Raw genomic sequence first — 14,472 nt, forward strand, 5'->3', positions numbered from 1 at the left:
TTGGAGAAAGTGGGGATGGGAGTGGGAGTGGGGAGGTTAATGAGTTAAAGGGCTTCCTAGGTAGCTGTCATTTTAAAAGCACATCGAATGCTCAACACACATGGAGAATGCAATGAGTAATAAGGGGTAGAGAAGAAGGGAAGAGCTAAACTGGACAGTTAAACAGTATAAGCTAAAGAAAAGCAACCGATTCTGACTGATACAGTGCTTATGAACTTTCAATGAAAACAATTTTATGCAAAGTAATTTAATGAACTGAGAAAAGGACACTAATATGGATGTGAATATAGCCAAAAACAATGTCTACTGCCTGTATGTGGCTCCTGATAATTCTGCAGGCCACTTAGCTGCCCCTGGCCACCCACTTCACTGATAGCCACCTGGGACTATTGAGGGTGTCTAGCTTAGGAGTGCCCAGCCTCTGGTATTGCCATTCAAACTCAACCCAGAGAAGAAGGCTCACCTGTTGCTTACTGTGCCCTTCCACATCCTTACAAAGAGTATCTCTCTCACACAGGAGTCCTGAGTTGGTTGCTGGCACAGACCACAACCAGAGGCTGAGTGGCCAGTGAAACTCCTCTGAGACTCAGGTTTTCTCTCTAATGGGAATTCCTGACTCTTCCTTCTTCAGTCCTCTCTCGGGACCAAAGAGGAAGGACACCCCTCAGTATCCTTTGGCAATCACCGTGGACACTTCCGCAGCTATAGAGGTGTTGCTTTGGGATCATCTAAGACAGAGTCAAGCCTTTGGCAATGTTCAGGAAATGCTGGTATGTCTCTGAGATCAGCTTTCAAGAGGAGAGGCATGTTATGAATGGGGCCTTTCTGGGATAGCATACACTATTCTTTGTTCGTTCTTTCTTTCTTTCTTTTTTTTTTTTTTTTTTTTTTGAGATGGATTTTCGCTCCACTTCAGGCTGGAGTGCAGTGGCACAATCTCGGCTCACTGCAACCTCCGCCTCCCAGGTTCAAGCAATTCTCCTGCCTCAGCCTCCTGAATAGCTGGGATTACAGGCGCCCACCACCACACCCAGCTAATTTTTGTGTATTTTTAGTAGAGACAGGGTTTTGCCATGTTGGCCAGGCTGGCTTCGAACTCCTGACCTCAGGTGATCCACCCGCCTTGGCCTTCCCAAGTGTTGGGATTACAGGCATGAGCCACCACGCCCAGCCCCACTATTCTACTTTCTATCAAGTGCATTCCAAGATAGGCTGACCTTCATGGAAGAAGTGAAATAGAAAACTGAGGAAAAGAAAATAATTGGAAAAAAAGTCCCACAAGTCAAGAAAGTACCCCAAGGAAGACTTACAGGACAACTTCCAAGGCAAATGGGAAAAGAGAACATTGGCAATCTAGGAGCTGCAGGAGAGAGCCCTGGTCTTCATCCCTAAGCCCAGGATGAATGTGAGGCAAAAATAGTCTCTGTTCTTTTGGAGGAAGAAAAAGCGAGTGAGCAAGCAAGCAAGAGAGAGAGAAAGAGATAGAGAAAGAAAGAAAAAGAGGGAGGGAGGAAGGGAAGGAAGGGAAGGAAGGGAAGGAAGGGAAGGAAGGAAGGAAGGAAGGAAGGAAGGAAGGAAGGAAGGAAGGAAGGAAGGAAGGAAGGAGCAAGCTCTGAGCAGTGCCACAGACCTGCTTCCAGTGTCCCTGATATAAAGCTCTCTTTGCTCAGTCTCCCAAGAGAACAGATCAAGCTTCTCCCAAGGACTATGGCAGGAACCCACTTCCTTCTTCCACTCAAAAGACTTGTCACTTGCTGCTGGGATCCCTGGGCATATGGGCTGCAAAATTCAACTAGCTGCGTGATCACCTCTGTCACCTCACTCCCTGGTGTCTTCCCACTTGTGTCCAGGAGCTCTGGGCCTGGGAAGGATTAACAACAAAGATTAAAGATGGCCCACAAGGCCTCAGAGGATCAGGAGCCAGCCCTGAAGTCCAGAAATTTTGACTAAGCCTCTGTCATTAGGGTCTCCCAGCTCATCCATAGGCTAATGCCAAACTTTCACAACAGCTAGTGGTTCTCATGACACCTCCTCCTGGTAGAAAGGAAAGAATAAGTCAAAAGGACCTGGGCCACAGATTCTGTCCTCTTGAGTCATTGATTTTGCCTCCCTAAACTATATCTTAAGATAGATTACTCTGTGAAAGCTGGATGACCATTGCCAGACAATTTAAAAAGTATATATATCAATATGAAATGGATTGATGATAATATTGCATATTATAGTTTATAGCACATGGATGGTATTGCTTTTATCCATTTTCTTTATTTTTTGAAAATTGAATTTGTGATTTTAAACATTAAAGATAATAGAAAAATTAATTTTTTGGCTCAATACTAGATTTATTATAGCTATTATTCCAATAATTTATTCATTGAATTAAAGTTATTTCAAAACCATTTGACATAGGAATATTGATAGTTTTTTTTTCTACCAAGTGAACATCATCTTCAAGACATTCACACAATTTAGATAAAATTCCTTTTGCACAGCAGCTGTATCCAGAGGCTTGATCTTGGATTTAGATTTAAATTTATCAAAGAAAGGCAGTTTTTAAAATTTGCCTAATTCAAAGCTCAAAGACTAATGAAATCCTTTCTTCAAATACCTGAAGACATTTGTATTCAGGGCTCTAGAGATGAGCTTATGAACTCTATAAACAACTGGTAAGTAAACCTTCCAGAAACAAGTTTTACCTTTATAGCAGTACCCTTCTCTGCTGGTACCAATTATCCCTCCTAAAGGACTACTTCTATGTGTGAAGCCTCAGTGGGACCCATTGCCCCTCAGTGGGCCTTTTCTGGCTTTGAAAAGAAAAGACCCCAGCATGGTCCTCAAGTCTTCTGATGTTTATATAAAGACGGCAGGTCCTTGTAGAAGTGTTTATATAAATTAGGAAAGATTCCCCCACCTACCTTCAACTTATGACCTTCTTTGACTCCAGGGAACAAGGAAAAATCACTAGTTTGGGAAAGGTAGCTTTCAGTCTTGAAGCTGTAATTATACAGGGGTTAATGACTGGGAAGGAAGATTAAACTTTTACTCACTACTTGAAATTATTCTAGTGCATGATCTCACTTCTTTGGGTTCTAATCCTAAATTATTTGCCCTATTCTGGTAGTTGGACATAGTGGTGGAGACCAGCTGGCTCCTAGAAAGTACAAAGGGAACTCCACCCAGTTACCACCAAGCACAGTGCAGGTTGGAGACAGCCTTTTCCTGAGGTGGGGCTGAGGACCTGCTCTGCCACTGACCAATCCTGTGATTTCCAGGCCTCACCTTCCTAGACACTCTCTGCTGTCAGGGATCCTGCCAGACACTTGTCAGCCCCTGGTGCAGCCAGGTCACGGCCATATCTGAGGGATAAACAGCACTGCACCTGTGACTATACTTGGCTTCTACCCTTCTGGGCTTAAGAGGACTTTGGCAATCCCCAAAGGACTCAGACACAGCATGACCATGGGAAACCCCTGCCTAGAACTTCCTGCCTTGGCCCAGCCCATCACTGGTTTTTACATAATGGTGCTTGGCATTTCTAGGCCACTGTACACATATACACACACAAGCACAAATGCAATTATTGTGCAGGAACAGCTGCAAAGAGGCTGGTGCAGGGCTCCATGTCCTTCCTGAAAGTGGCTGAGGGGAGCATGGTCCTACCACAGCTGGGAGACTTGACTTTGTGCATCCCTTTATAGAAAGAAGCTCTCTGACTCTTACAGAAGTTGCTGCATGGGAATGCCAGAGATAAGGCACCTGCCTACCTAACACAGTAGTTTAGTCTTCTGAGAAGCCTCCTGTCTCCTTTGATACCTGTGACCCTCAGTCATGGCAGCTCCTCCATCAATTTATCCAATGTGAGGATGGATGACACTCACCTCCATAACCCAGTCTGCAGCCAGGAAAGTGTCAGTAGAGGTGACCCCACCTTTCCAGGCCCATCATATGTGGGTCAAGAAAGGATCATGTCCAAGACCACAGCATTAATGTTTAATAAGGCTTCCATTTCTATTGAAAAGTTGTCCTTCACCTGCAGTGTTTGCAACTGATTGCTAGCCTGAGGAACACTGGGCAAGACCAAGATGCATCATAGTGTGGTGGACAGAGCCATGAGCTGGGGCTGGGTCCCAGAGCTCTGCTCCTGCCGCTGAGGCTGAAACCACCCCTGCTGGTCACAGTTTCTTCTCACATGAGGAAGGGTTGGCCTACTATGTTCTATGCTCTTCCACCTCTGGTGTCTGTGTGTCTGTGAATCTAGGGAACTGCTTGTGCCCAGCACTGAGGAAACCGGGCACCTGGGGTGGGATCTATGCAATCCTAGACACACGCTGCCAGAAATCCAAGCACAGGCTAACTCTGGAGGGTAGGTTTTGGTGATTTCCACAGACATCAGCCGTCTCTTTACCCCCTCCATTGTTTCTTAGTTTCCCCTTCAATGGGTTTTCATTTTTAATAAATGGAAAGGAATTTGACTTTGAGATTGTCCTGAAAGCCCTTGTAATGACCAGTGATGTCTAGCATGGATTATAAAATGACAACTGGCCCACTAAACAGAGGAAATTCCATTTTGAGTTAAATACCAAAATAAGTTCTTTCAATATACCCTAAAGAGTTCACCACAGTCCTACAGGTAAGCCAGATGGATGAGAGGAGGGCAGCAGAAAGGAGAGCCTCCTGGATGGGGAGCTTGTGCACAGAGAAGCAGGTATTAGATGAAGAAAAGACAGAAAGACAATCTGTGTGGTTGGTTCACATTTGGGGCAGGAAACTGGGACCCACAGGGAGGGTGCTGGGCCCCTCCTGCCCTAGCCTACTTCTTTAAGAACCAACCTGTGATCCCTCCCCTAGGGCAGTGATAGAAATCTTCATCCTAGGAAGCTCATGCCTCTGTCCCCAGTTCATGCCACTCTGTGCTTCTGAGAACATCAAGACAGAGGTGTCTGGAGTATCAAAAGCAAAAACCTTCCTTCTCCACACTGCATGGCTCACACAAGCCAGTGCTGTCCACCCACCAGGCCTGTGTGTGCACCAGACTGAGACGTGGATTTCCAGGGCCCTGACGCTCTATTGACTGCAAGAACCATCATGCTTGTATCTCAGCCTATGTTTTTGAAAATCAAACTACCCATTCCATTATCCATTTAGCAAGAATATCAATCAGACTTATTGGGTGAGGAGGGGAGAAGGGAGAAGGTTTGTGGGCAGTACTTTTTCTAGATGGAATACGTTCTCATTCAAGTCTAAAAAGGAAAAGGACTAGTACCTTGGTCATAGTCAGATGACTACCTGAAAAGCCTCTGGCCTTTAGTAGCTAAAGGCTCTGAAACCAATAGTTTGCACAAACATTGACCCAATATTGGATCTAGGACACTGAACAAAAATCACCCAAGGAGGAACTCTCTGGGAACAGCAGGTAACCCCTCAGCTTTATGTCCTAGGGCTCCGTTCCCACCAGAAAAAAAATGTTTATAGAACCCCAGAGACCTAACTTGGGAACCTGTGCAGCACAGACCAAGGGTATGTCCTATCCTGGGGAGACACAGAGCCCAGAGAAGACCCAGCCTTCCCACCCATGCCAGCCAGCCCTGGCCCTGGGGTGTACTTCCCTTCACCTGCAGGGAAGAAGCCAGGTGACCATCAAGCAACATGACATCATTTCCTGGCCAGCAAGCCTTCTCCAGCTGCAGCCACACCTTCCATACCTCTGGATTCACTAATCCACATCCCACCCCCATCAGCAGCTCTCAGTAATCAATCAGTCCCCTTCCCTGTAACCTTCCCACTATTCACTCCCAGGGCCTCCCCAAGCTGTGTGGATGTAAACAAGATTTCAGAAGCCCTTGGCAGAGATATGGTTACCAGGTGCTGAAGAAACAGAGACTCAGAGTAGGCCACCTGAGCCCACCCAGCCACACCTGGCATACCCAGCATTTGGCTAGTGCCAGTTAGGACCAGATACTCAGCCTCCAGGGAGAATAAGTTCATAGGAAACTTCCCAAGTGAGTTCAAAAGCCAAACCAGAATGATCACAGTGAGAGGTGTGAGCATTCTAGGGACCCCGGCGCACATGGTTATTTTAAAGAGCAGAGTGAGGCCATTCCACCAAGTGCATGTGGGGCAGGCAGCTGTCCCATCCTGGGGGCTGTGGGAAGGCAGGACCAGGCTCTTCACTTCAGGCAGAGAATGCACCACTGCTAATCACTGAGAGATTTCGGACCACAGGGCATTTCCAGTAAAGCATAGGGAGTTGAGGGAGAATGTTCAGAACTGAGAAGACTAGACTGTGCTCTGAGTAGACTGAGGCTAAGAGTGAGCAAAAAGGGTAAGAAGAGGTGAATGGCTAGGTGCAGTAGCAGATGCCTGTTGTCCTGGCTACTCCTGGAGGTTGAGGTGGGAGGATTGCTTGAGCCCACGAGTTCAAGGCTGCAGTGTGCTATAACAGCACTTGGGAGGAGCCACTGCATTCAAACCTGGGCAACATAGTGAGGCTCCACATTGAAGAAGAAGGAAGAAGAAGAAGGAGGGAAGAGGAGGAGGAGGAGGAAGGAGAAGGAGAAGAGGAAGAAGAGATTGGAGGAGGAGGAAGGAGGAGGAGGAAGAGGGAATGGGGGAAAAGGTTGCATTTTGGGGAACTTCTCACTTATGTCAAATCATAGGAAGCAGAATAGACTAGAACCCCCTCTCTCTCCACCATGTGAGAATATAGTCAGAAGTCTGCCATCTGAAAGCCAGGACAAAGGTCCTCACCAAATCTGCCAGCACCTTCATCTTGGTCTTCCCAGCCTCCAGAACAGTCAGAAATAAACATTTGTTGTTTAAGCCACCCAGTCTATGGTATTTCGTTATAGTAGTCTGGACAGACTACGTTGGTGACACAGCAAACTGTGTGTGGAGATAGAAGGTAACTAAATGTATATCTGACAAGAATTGGAGATATCACAAGTATTTACTTATGACTGTCATTTTTGACCGTCAATGTAAACAATGTTATCAGCCCCTAGTTTTACGGGGCCTTCTAGAGGGCTCTCTCCTGACTCCCTAACACAATTAATTGAAGATTTTTAAATGATTCCCCAAATATATATCATTATCCACTAGAAAAATGTTCACTTGCTTCAACATCCTCTTGCCCAAAACTTCTCAGTCAGAAAACTGTTCTTAATATCGAATTTAAACTCCTTCTTCAATACATCTATTCCTTTTATTCCAACCTGAAGCAGAATTTAGTCATGAAATTCCACAGATTGCTCCCTATAACTCCACTCTCACATCTTTCTCTTTTACATAACCCAAAGATTTGGAAAGACAAGAGTAGACAATAAGCAAATGAATATATCTGGGAGAACATTATAGTACTTAAGAAAGAACACTGCTTCATGCCCACTCAGCACCTCTCACTCATGTGACCTCACAACTGGATTCTCTTACACTATTTTCTGAGTGTGTGTGTGTTCTAGTAATTGTAAGTTCCTGAAAGGCAGAGCCATGTCTTCTAATTTTCATAGCACTTTGGCTCAAGAAGTCAATAAAGACATGTAGCCATAAGTTGGCACACTTATTAAAACCATTCTTATTCTTTACTTTCAATAAAACCAGACTCCTAAGGACCCTAGCTCTGATTTTCATACAGACTGACAGATACTAACTCTGAAATTTGTAACAATTAATTTGGTATTTGAGGCCTGCCCTTCTTCATTCAGTGCCCTCTCCCTCACCCCAAGTGGTCTGCATTTGGGAGGTGTGATGGTCCTTACCAAGGTCTCCCTGGACAGTCACCATGGAGTCTAGAGGGTTTAGGTTCATCTTTTACTGTCTCTGTGTGATGGGGGAAGGTGGAAAGAAGATGATTTCCTCTTAAATGGTGGAAGGGCCTCTCAGATTTCATGTGGATTATAATATGATTTTGATAGTCGGGAAAAAAAAACTCTTTACGGACTAAGAAGAAACAAGATGATCCTCATACCCTGAAAAGTCCTTTCCAACCTTCTCTGTCAAACTTCTGTTCTTCCCTTGGATGCAAATGCATGACAGAGCTTGCAGTGAGCTGCAGAAAGTGTTGGGAAAAACCCAGAGATGAAGAGAATAGAGACTTCCAAGAGAGCGTGTAGTCAAACATCCACCCCTGCCTATCCCAGTGGGTCCCACAGGTCTCTACTGGAGTCATGAGGTGGTGTGTCCCCTACTCATTGCTAAGACCCATGAACTTGGAGGAGACAGTCCAGGGGCCATGATCTGGAAGGGGCTGAAGTGAAGCAGAATAACAAACCCACATCCAGTTCTAGATCCTGCTACACAGGAGAGCCAAGGCAAGTCATGGAAACAGGTTATGATCCCAGGAGAGAGACAGAGAGCAGCTGAGTGAGCAAAATAGGGGGCAGCCTCAAATGATTTCTGAAGCATAAGTCTAAACCTAATGCCAAACAGGGCTTTTTCATCTGCTCAGAGTCTTAGCATGAGAATTAGCTTCCTTTATTTACAAAGATTGGACAGAGACAGGGAAAGGGAGACAGAAAATATAACAACAGACACAGGAACTCAAAATCCCTAGTTTTCCTTAGCCAGTAAGTACCAAGGCAGACATTTCTATATACTTAATAATCTCTGAAAGGTCCCTATACATGATACAATAGCTGATATCCATATGGTCATCTTACGACATTAAGAAATGACTTTGAAAAAGTAAGTTTGAAACACGCTTGGGAAGATTTCCATTAAAATATTTAAAGTTAAAAAATGTTTTGGCATCACTTTTTGACCTTTTGGCTAAAGTCAAGTATAAAAAATGTTTTGGCATTTTCCCAAGGGAAAAGGAATCTCATGTTTTCTGAAAATTTATTTATGAGGACTGTCTCATAGAGAAATGAGATGACACATCCACAGTATCGCATGGTTTGTAAATATAACATTACCAAGAGCCTTGTCTTCACAGGTATGTGGGATAGGCTGAACTAGAGAAATCACCTCAAATCTCTCCAGTTTGCTAAGGGCTAGAGACAATTGAGCCCCTCAAAAATATATGATTTGGGGTCTGTACTAAAATCTATTAAGTGGGCCCCAATAATAGGGCTGAGGAACTTACGTGCATCCATGCAAACTTCCAGGTGTCTTTCAAAGAGGCCATCAGGTAATACAACCTGGTTGCAAGGTGGGGGAGGGATGAATTATATAAAGGGCCAGTTCTGGAGGCAGACATAAGCCCAGGCCAAGAAGAAAAGTACCGTTGGTTCAGGTGTTAGTCTAGGCAAGGGCGATCAAACAGGGCTGCAAAACTGAGTAGGAGATACATTGCAAAAAAAGCAGGCGGCCGAGATTGGAACTGGAAGAGGCAATGCTCAATGTTCAATGCTTACAGGGAGCCTCGCTGGTCAGAGCTACTTTTTTTGTTTGTTTTGTTTTTTTGTTTTTGTTGAGATAGGGTCTCACTCTTTCTCCCAGGCTGGAGTGCAGTGGTGCGAACACAGTCCACTGTAGCTTCTACCTCCCCAGCTCAAGCAATCCTCCTATCTCAGCTTCCCAAAGTAGCTGGGACCACAGGCTCATGCCACCATGCCCAGCTAATTTTGTGATTTTTCATAGTGATGGGGTCTCACTTTGTTGCTCAGGATGATATCAAACTCCTGGGCTCAATCAATCCTCCTGCCTCGGCCTCAGAGCAACCTTTAAAGGGCTGTCTGTGTGTGTCTCCCTCCATAAGGAATGTAACACATACTCCCTCCTCCTTTGCCTATTGATTACTCACGTTATAGATCTTAGCTTAGATGTAGTTGCAAAGACTTCCCTGAGCCTGAGAAATCTACATGTTCTTGGGAAGGAATTGGCAGACAATCAAGGCTCCTAAGCAGGGAAATTACACAATGAGGTTTGCATACTGGCTCCCTCACTCTGGCTACAATGCTGACACTAGACTTGAAGGGGTCAGAAGGGAGCCTGTTGTAAACAACACAGGATCTGGCCATCAACCTGACTCCCTCTCTTGCCTCTCATTCAATCACTAACCAAGCTCTGGCAATTCTACATTCTAAATATTTCTCAGAGGCAACCAGTTAGCTCTCTCTCCACTGTCACAACTCTAGTTCTGGCCCTCATCATTCTCTTTTCAGATTATTCTCACAGCCTCCTAATCCATCTCCCACCTTGAATTTAGTCTTGCCCTCCAATCCGTCCTTCACCTGGCCTCAAGAGAGACCTCTGTAAACACACATCTATTTATGTGTTATTCACTTGAAACTCTAATTGCTGTCTCACTGTTCTTACCATACACCTAAAATGTTTGGCATGTCCTACAAACTTGGCAAGGTCTGGCTTCTGCCTAACCTACTGAAGTAGACACTGATGCATCTCCCAAATTTACTCTTTAGGAGGACATTCATTTCCCAGCTGTGCAAACTATTAACAACTCACAGCTGAGTCCCTTTCCAGGAATTGCCCTCATCCAAAGAAAAGTGCCTCACTCAAGATTATCTACTCTCCCTCCTTGGGCACAGCTTTCATCCAATGACTGCTTGATGCGGGAGTGCCAAGGTCTGGTTTCCTTGCCTCAATTTGGGACATATCCGATGGGCCCTCCTATCTCCAGAGCCCCTCATGGGATCAGTTGAGGCCTGTGTTGCAACTGCATGGCAGTTTAACTTCTCTCTTTGCCCAGTCATGCATCCTTCACTCCCCACAGGTGTTCCAGACAGCACACCTGAAGAAACATCATGCATGTAAATTGGTCTCAGACTCTGTTTCCTGGAGAGTCTGACCTACAGTACTCTCCCAGCAACATTACTCGGACATAGAAAATTCATATGGAACTTTAACAGTTCCTCAAGTCCGCTGAGCTCTCTCTGCTGTATGGGTTTTTGCACAAGCTATTTCTTTTTCCCTAGAGCATTTCCTACCTTTTTCCTATTCACCTTCAAGTCTCAGCTAAGATGTCACCTCCTTTAGGAAGTCCTCCTGATTCACCAAGCTCAGGTGCTCTGCCTTTATGTTGTCATGACATTTAGTACTACCTCATCAATGCTTAATTAGACAAATTATAATGCATTCTATTTATGTATCCATGTGTTATCTCCCCTGCTAGACTACATCTTTTTTTTTTTTTTTGAGACAGAGTCTCTCTCTATCGCCAGGCTGGAGTGCAGCGGTGCAATCTTGGCTCACTGCAATCTCCACCTCCTGGGTTCAAGCCATTCCCCTGCCTCAGCCTCCCAAGTAGCTAGGACTACAGGTGTGCGCCACCACGCCCAGCTAATTTTTGTATTTTTAGTAGAGATGGGGTTTCACCATGTTGGCCAGAATGGTCTCAATCTCTTGACCTCATGATCCGCCCGCCTCGGCCTCCCAAAGTGCTGGGATTACAGGCGTGAGCCACCACGCCCAGCCTAGACTACATCTTCTAAGGGTGTAAGAAATATGTCTATTGTGTCCATCATTGTAACCCTAGTGCCTAGCCCAGTTCCTGGAACACACTAGGGATATAATATGTATTAGTTTGCTTGGGCTGCCATAACAAAATACCACAGACTAGAAGCTTAAACAACAGAATTTTACTTTCTCATGGTTCTGAAAGCCAGAAGTCCCAGATCACGGTGTGGGCAGGTTTCATTTCTTATGTGCTCTCTCTCCTTGGCTAGCAGATGATCACATTCTTGCTGTGTCCTCATATGGGCTTTTCTCTGTGCACTAACATTCCTGGTCCAAATTTCCTCTTTGTATAAGGGCACCAGTCACATTAAAGTCCACCCTGATTGTCTCATTTTAACTAAAACACCTTTTTGAAGACCCTAACTCCAAATATAATTACATTTTGAAGTCATGGGGGTTAGGGCTCTACCATATGAATCTGGGGGCAACACACTTCAGCCCCTAATAGTTCTATGTTTCTTCTCTTTCCCCTTCCACAGTGCTGTCTGTCCCAGAGGCAGCAAGCCCACAGCTCTCACCAAGCACCAATGCCCAGATTAGCCTTCCCCTCAAATTTCCAAGATTCAGGATTCAACATGTTACAGGTATTATTCTGCCTGGAATGGGGTCAAATAGGTGGCAGGAGGACTTGAAGAATTCACTAGTTACAAAGGGGAGAGACCTTTCAGGCTGAGGAAACTGCATAAGCAAAGATACCACATGTTAAATTTCATGGGGAGCTTGGAGACAATTAGATGTGGCTGTTGTGGAGGATGAATGTGGTAGATGCCAATTGTTGAAGGAAGAAAGGTTGACCGAGGTTATACGGTAAAAAGCTTTCATTTTGGCATAAAATCAGCCAACACTTTATCTAAAGAGATGAAGATAGGGAATTAGAGGCTGTTCCAATCACTCATGCAGGAAACAATGCAATTAACTTGGTAAAAGGTTGGAAGATTTGAAGATGACTTACAGCAAATAACTATCAGGAAGGGGGAAGCAGGAGAGGTATGACAAGCAAAAGATAAAGGGAAAAATAGAGGCAAAGAGAAAAAAAAACAGAAGGAGGAGGCATCCTGTTCATATCTAAATGACGAATTCCAATATCCCAGAAGGGATTCTGTTGACTGGGGTTCTGCATCCTCAAAAAGGCAAAGTCTCCTCCAGACTTTGCTGGAGTTGACTAGCATCTCTCAGCAAAGTGAGGGAGTACTGGAAGCAGAGAAGGCTCTAGATATCAGAAGGTCGGTTAACGTGGAGGCACAGCAGCAAATGGAGCCAAGAGGGATGAAGGCAGCAAAAATTTCCAAAAGGAACTGGAGATCTGGATGTGATCAGCTTCAGGGGGCTAACTGGGATGAGAGAATTGATATATCCGGCTCCTTCTCATTTAGAGAAAACAGTCAGCTCAGGCCTGGCTTATAGATTAAGGACCAGTCACCTGGATCCAACCACACAGAGGAAATAGTGGTGGATATAAAGGAGCTTATTTCCCCTCTCAGGATACCGGGGTAGAAAAGCGGAAGGATCAGACACTTGCAGAGGAGAAAAGAGAAGTCACTGTGCTTGTCCACTGTCCTGGCTAGTAATAGCAACGGTCAAGGCCAGAGGTTACGTGTAATGAAGACAGTGGAGCTAACTGATTTCGTCCAGCTGCAGGTCTAGGTGCGGCAGGCCATCTTTTTCACCCTTATCCACCCGGCACCCACTGAGGAGGGACTGTTCTAATAAAGATGGCTTCAGTAGGCCACTGCGAGTCAAGGCTGGGTCTGTCTCCAAAGTGAGTTTGGTTTTTCTTTATGAAACCTCTGGTCACGAGAATATGAGAGTTTCCACTCTGGTTCTGAACTATGGGTCATCAATCCTAATGGGTTATGGGTTCCAGCTGTGAGATTTGCTGTCCCTGTTTGGGATTACAAAAAGTAAATGAAGCTCTCCAGTTAAGACCAGGTGTGGGCAGTCAGAGCTGAGAGGCCAGGAGTGTCCCTCTGAAGAAGGTGGTGACCGCAGAGAAAGTGGTGCTGGGCCTGAATCACTGGTGGGCAGAGATGGTGCCTGCCAGTCCTGAGCCAACCTCTTTGGAGCCCACTCCACAGAGATAAGAGCAACAGCAGCCCTGAAAGCACCTCAAGGACTTCTGCTGCAACCGAGGCTTCCCACTGCATTTCCCCCTTACAGACTCTCCAGTAATTCTTTAGACTCTGTAAGTATGGCATGTGTATTTCATTGAAAAAGTAATGTAAGCATGCTCTAGAAAACCCAGGAAAGAACTACCCACACCACCACCACCGAAAAGTTAATTAGATACAATCAGAGTTTTCCTCCACTGGACCTTATCCATCTTAGTTCACAGTCTCAGAGTTAGGACTTGAGGCATTTGTGGAAGTAAATCAACTAGAGCACCCTTAAGACTTTATTCAAAAATGCTAGGCATGAGTAATTTCAGAGAGAATATTCTCACTTGGAGAAGCAGCGTGAGCCAGACAGAATTTTTAATAAGGATTTAGGAGGCAGGGTCAGCTGAAGTTCAACTGGTTTAGGGAATAGTGCAAAGATGGTTCTAAGAAATATGAGGAATTGTTTCTAAGGATGATGAACTACTGTTTGGGATTTTTACCGAGAGGGTGAGGAGGAATAGTTAGGAGCTGTGGCCATATGGAAGAAGGGTGGGGAGAAATATTACCGGGCATAAGGAAGTTTAAGGACCACCAGTGGAAAATTCTCAGTCTATGTGTCTCTTTTAAAAAAATTTTGTGGATACATAGTAGGTGTTTATGGGGTACGTGAAATGTTTTGATAAAGGTATCTATTAGCGTCTCTTGTGAGGACCAAATGGAAACACAGGCCTTCTGACTCCTGGAGAGCATTCTTTTCACATTCCATAGATGCCCCAGCCTTTCTCAGTTTGGCAGGTGATTGAGAAAGAACCCCAAGGCGTCCTGGCCTTTCCCATGGAAAGGCAGGTTGAGATAAGAAGAGGGCTGGACTGCACAGACAAATTCAAAGATTTTACCACCTTGTCCTAGGGTTATAATTTATCTTCAATTGGACCAGGGCCTGCAGGAGTTTAGTCCTACATAT

The 14,472-nt window shown here is 45.1% G+C and overlaps 1 annotated feature.

The window, feature by feature from the left end:
* Positions 3,319–3,548: an enhancer, noted in NCBI's record as "active region_4363". NCBI's record gives its function as "activates an Ori minimal core promoter by ATAC-STARR-seq in GM12878 lymphoblastoid cells {active_cell/tissue: GM12878}" and the evidence as "EXISTENCE:reporter gene assay evidence [ECO:0000049][PMID:35858748]".

The sequence above is a fragment of the Homo sapiens genome, chromosome 11 (assembly GCF_000001405.40).
Source record: "Homo sapiens chromosome 11, GRCh38.p14 Primary Assembly".
Lineage (NCBI taxonomy): Eukaryota > Metazoa > Chordata > Mammalia > Primates > Hominidae > Homo > Homo sapiens.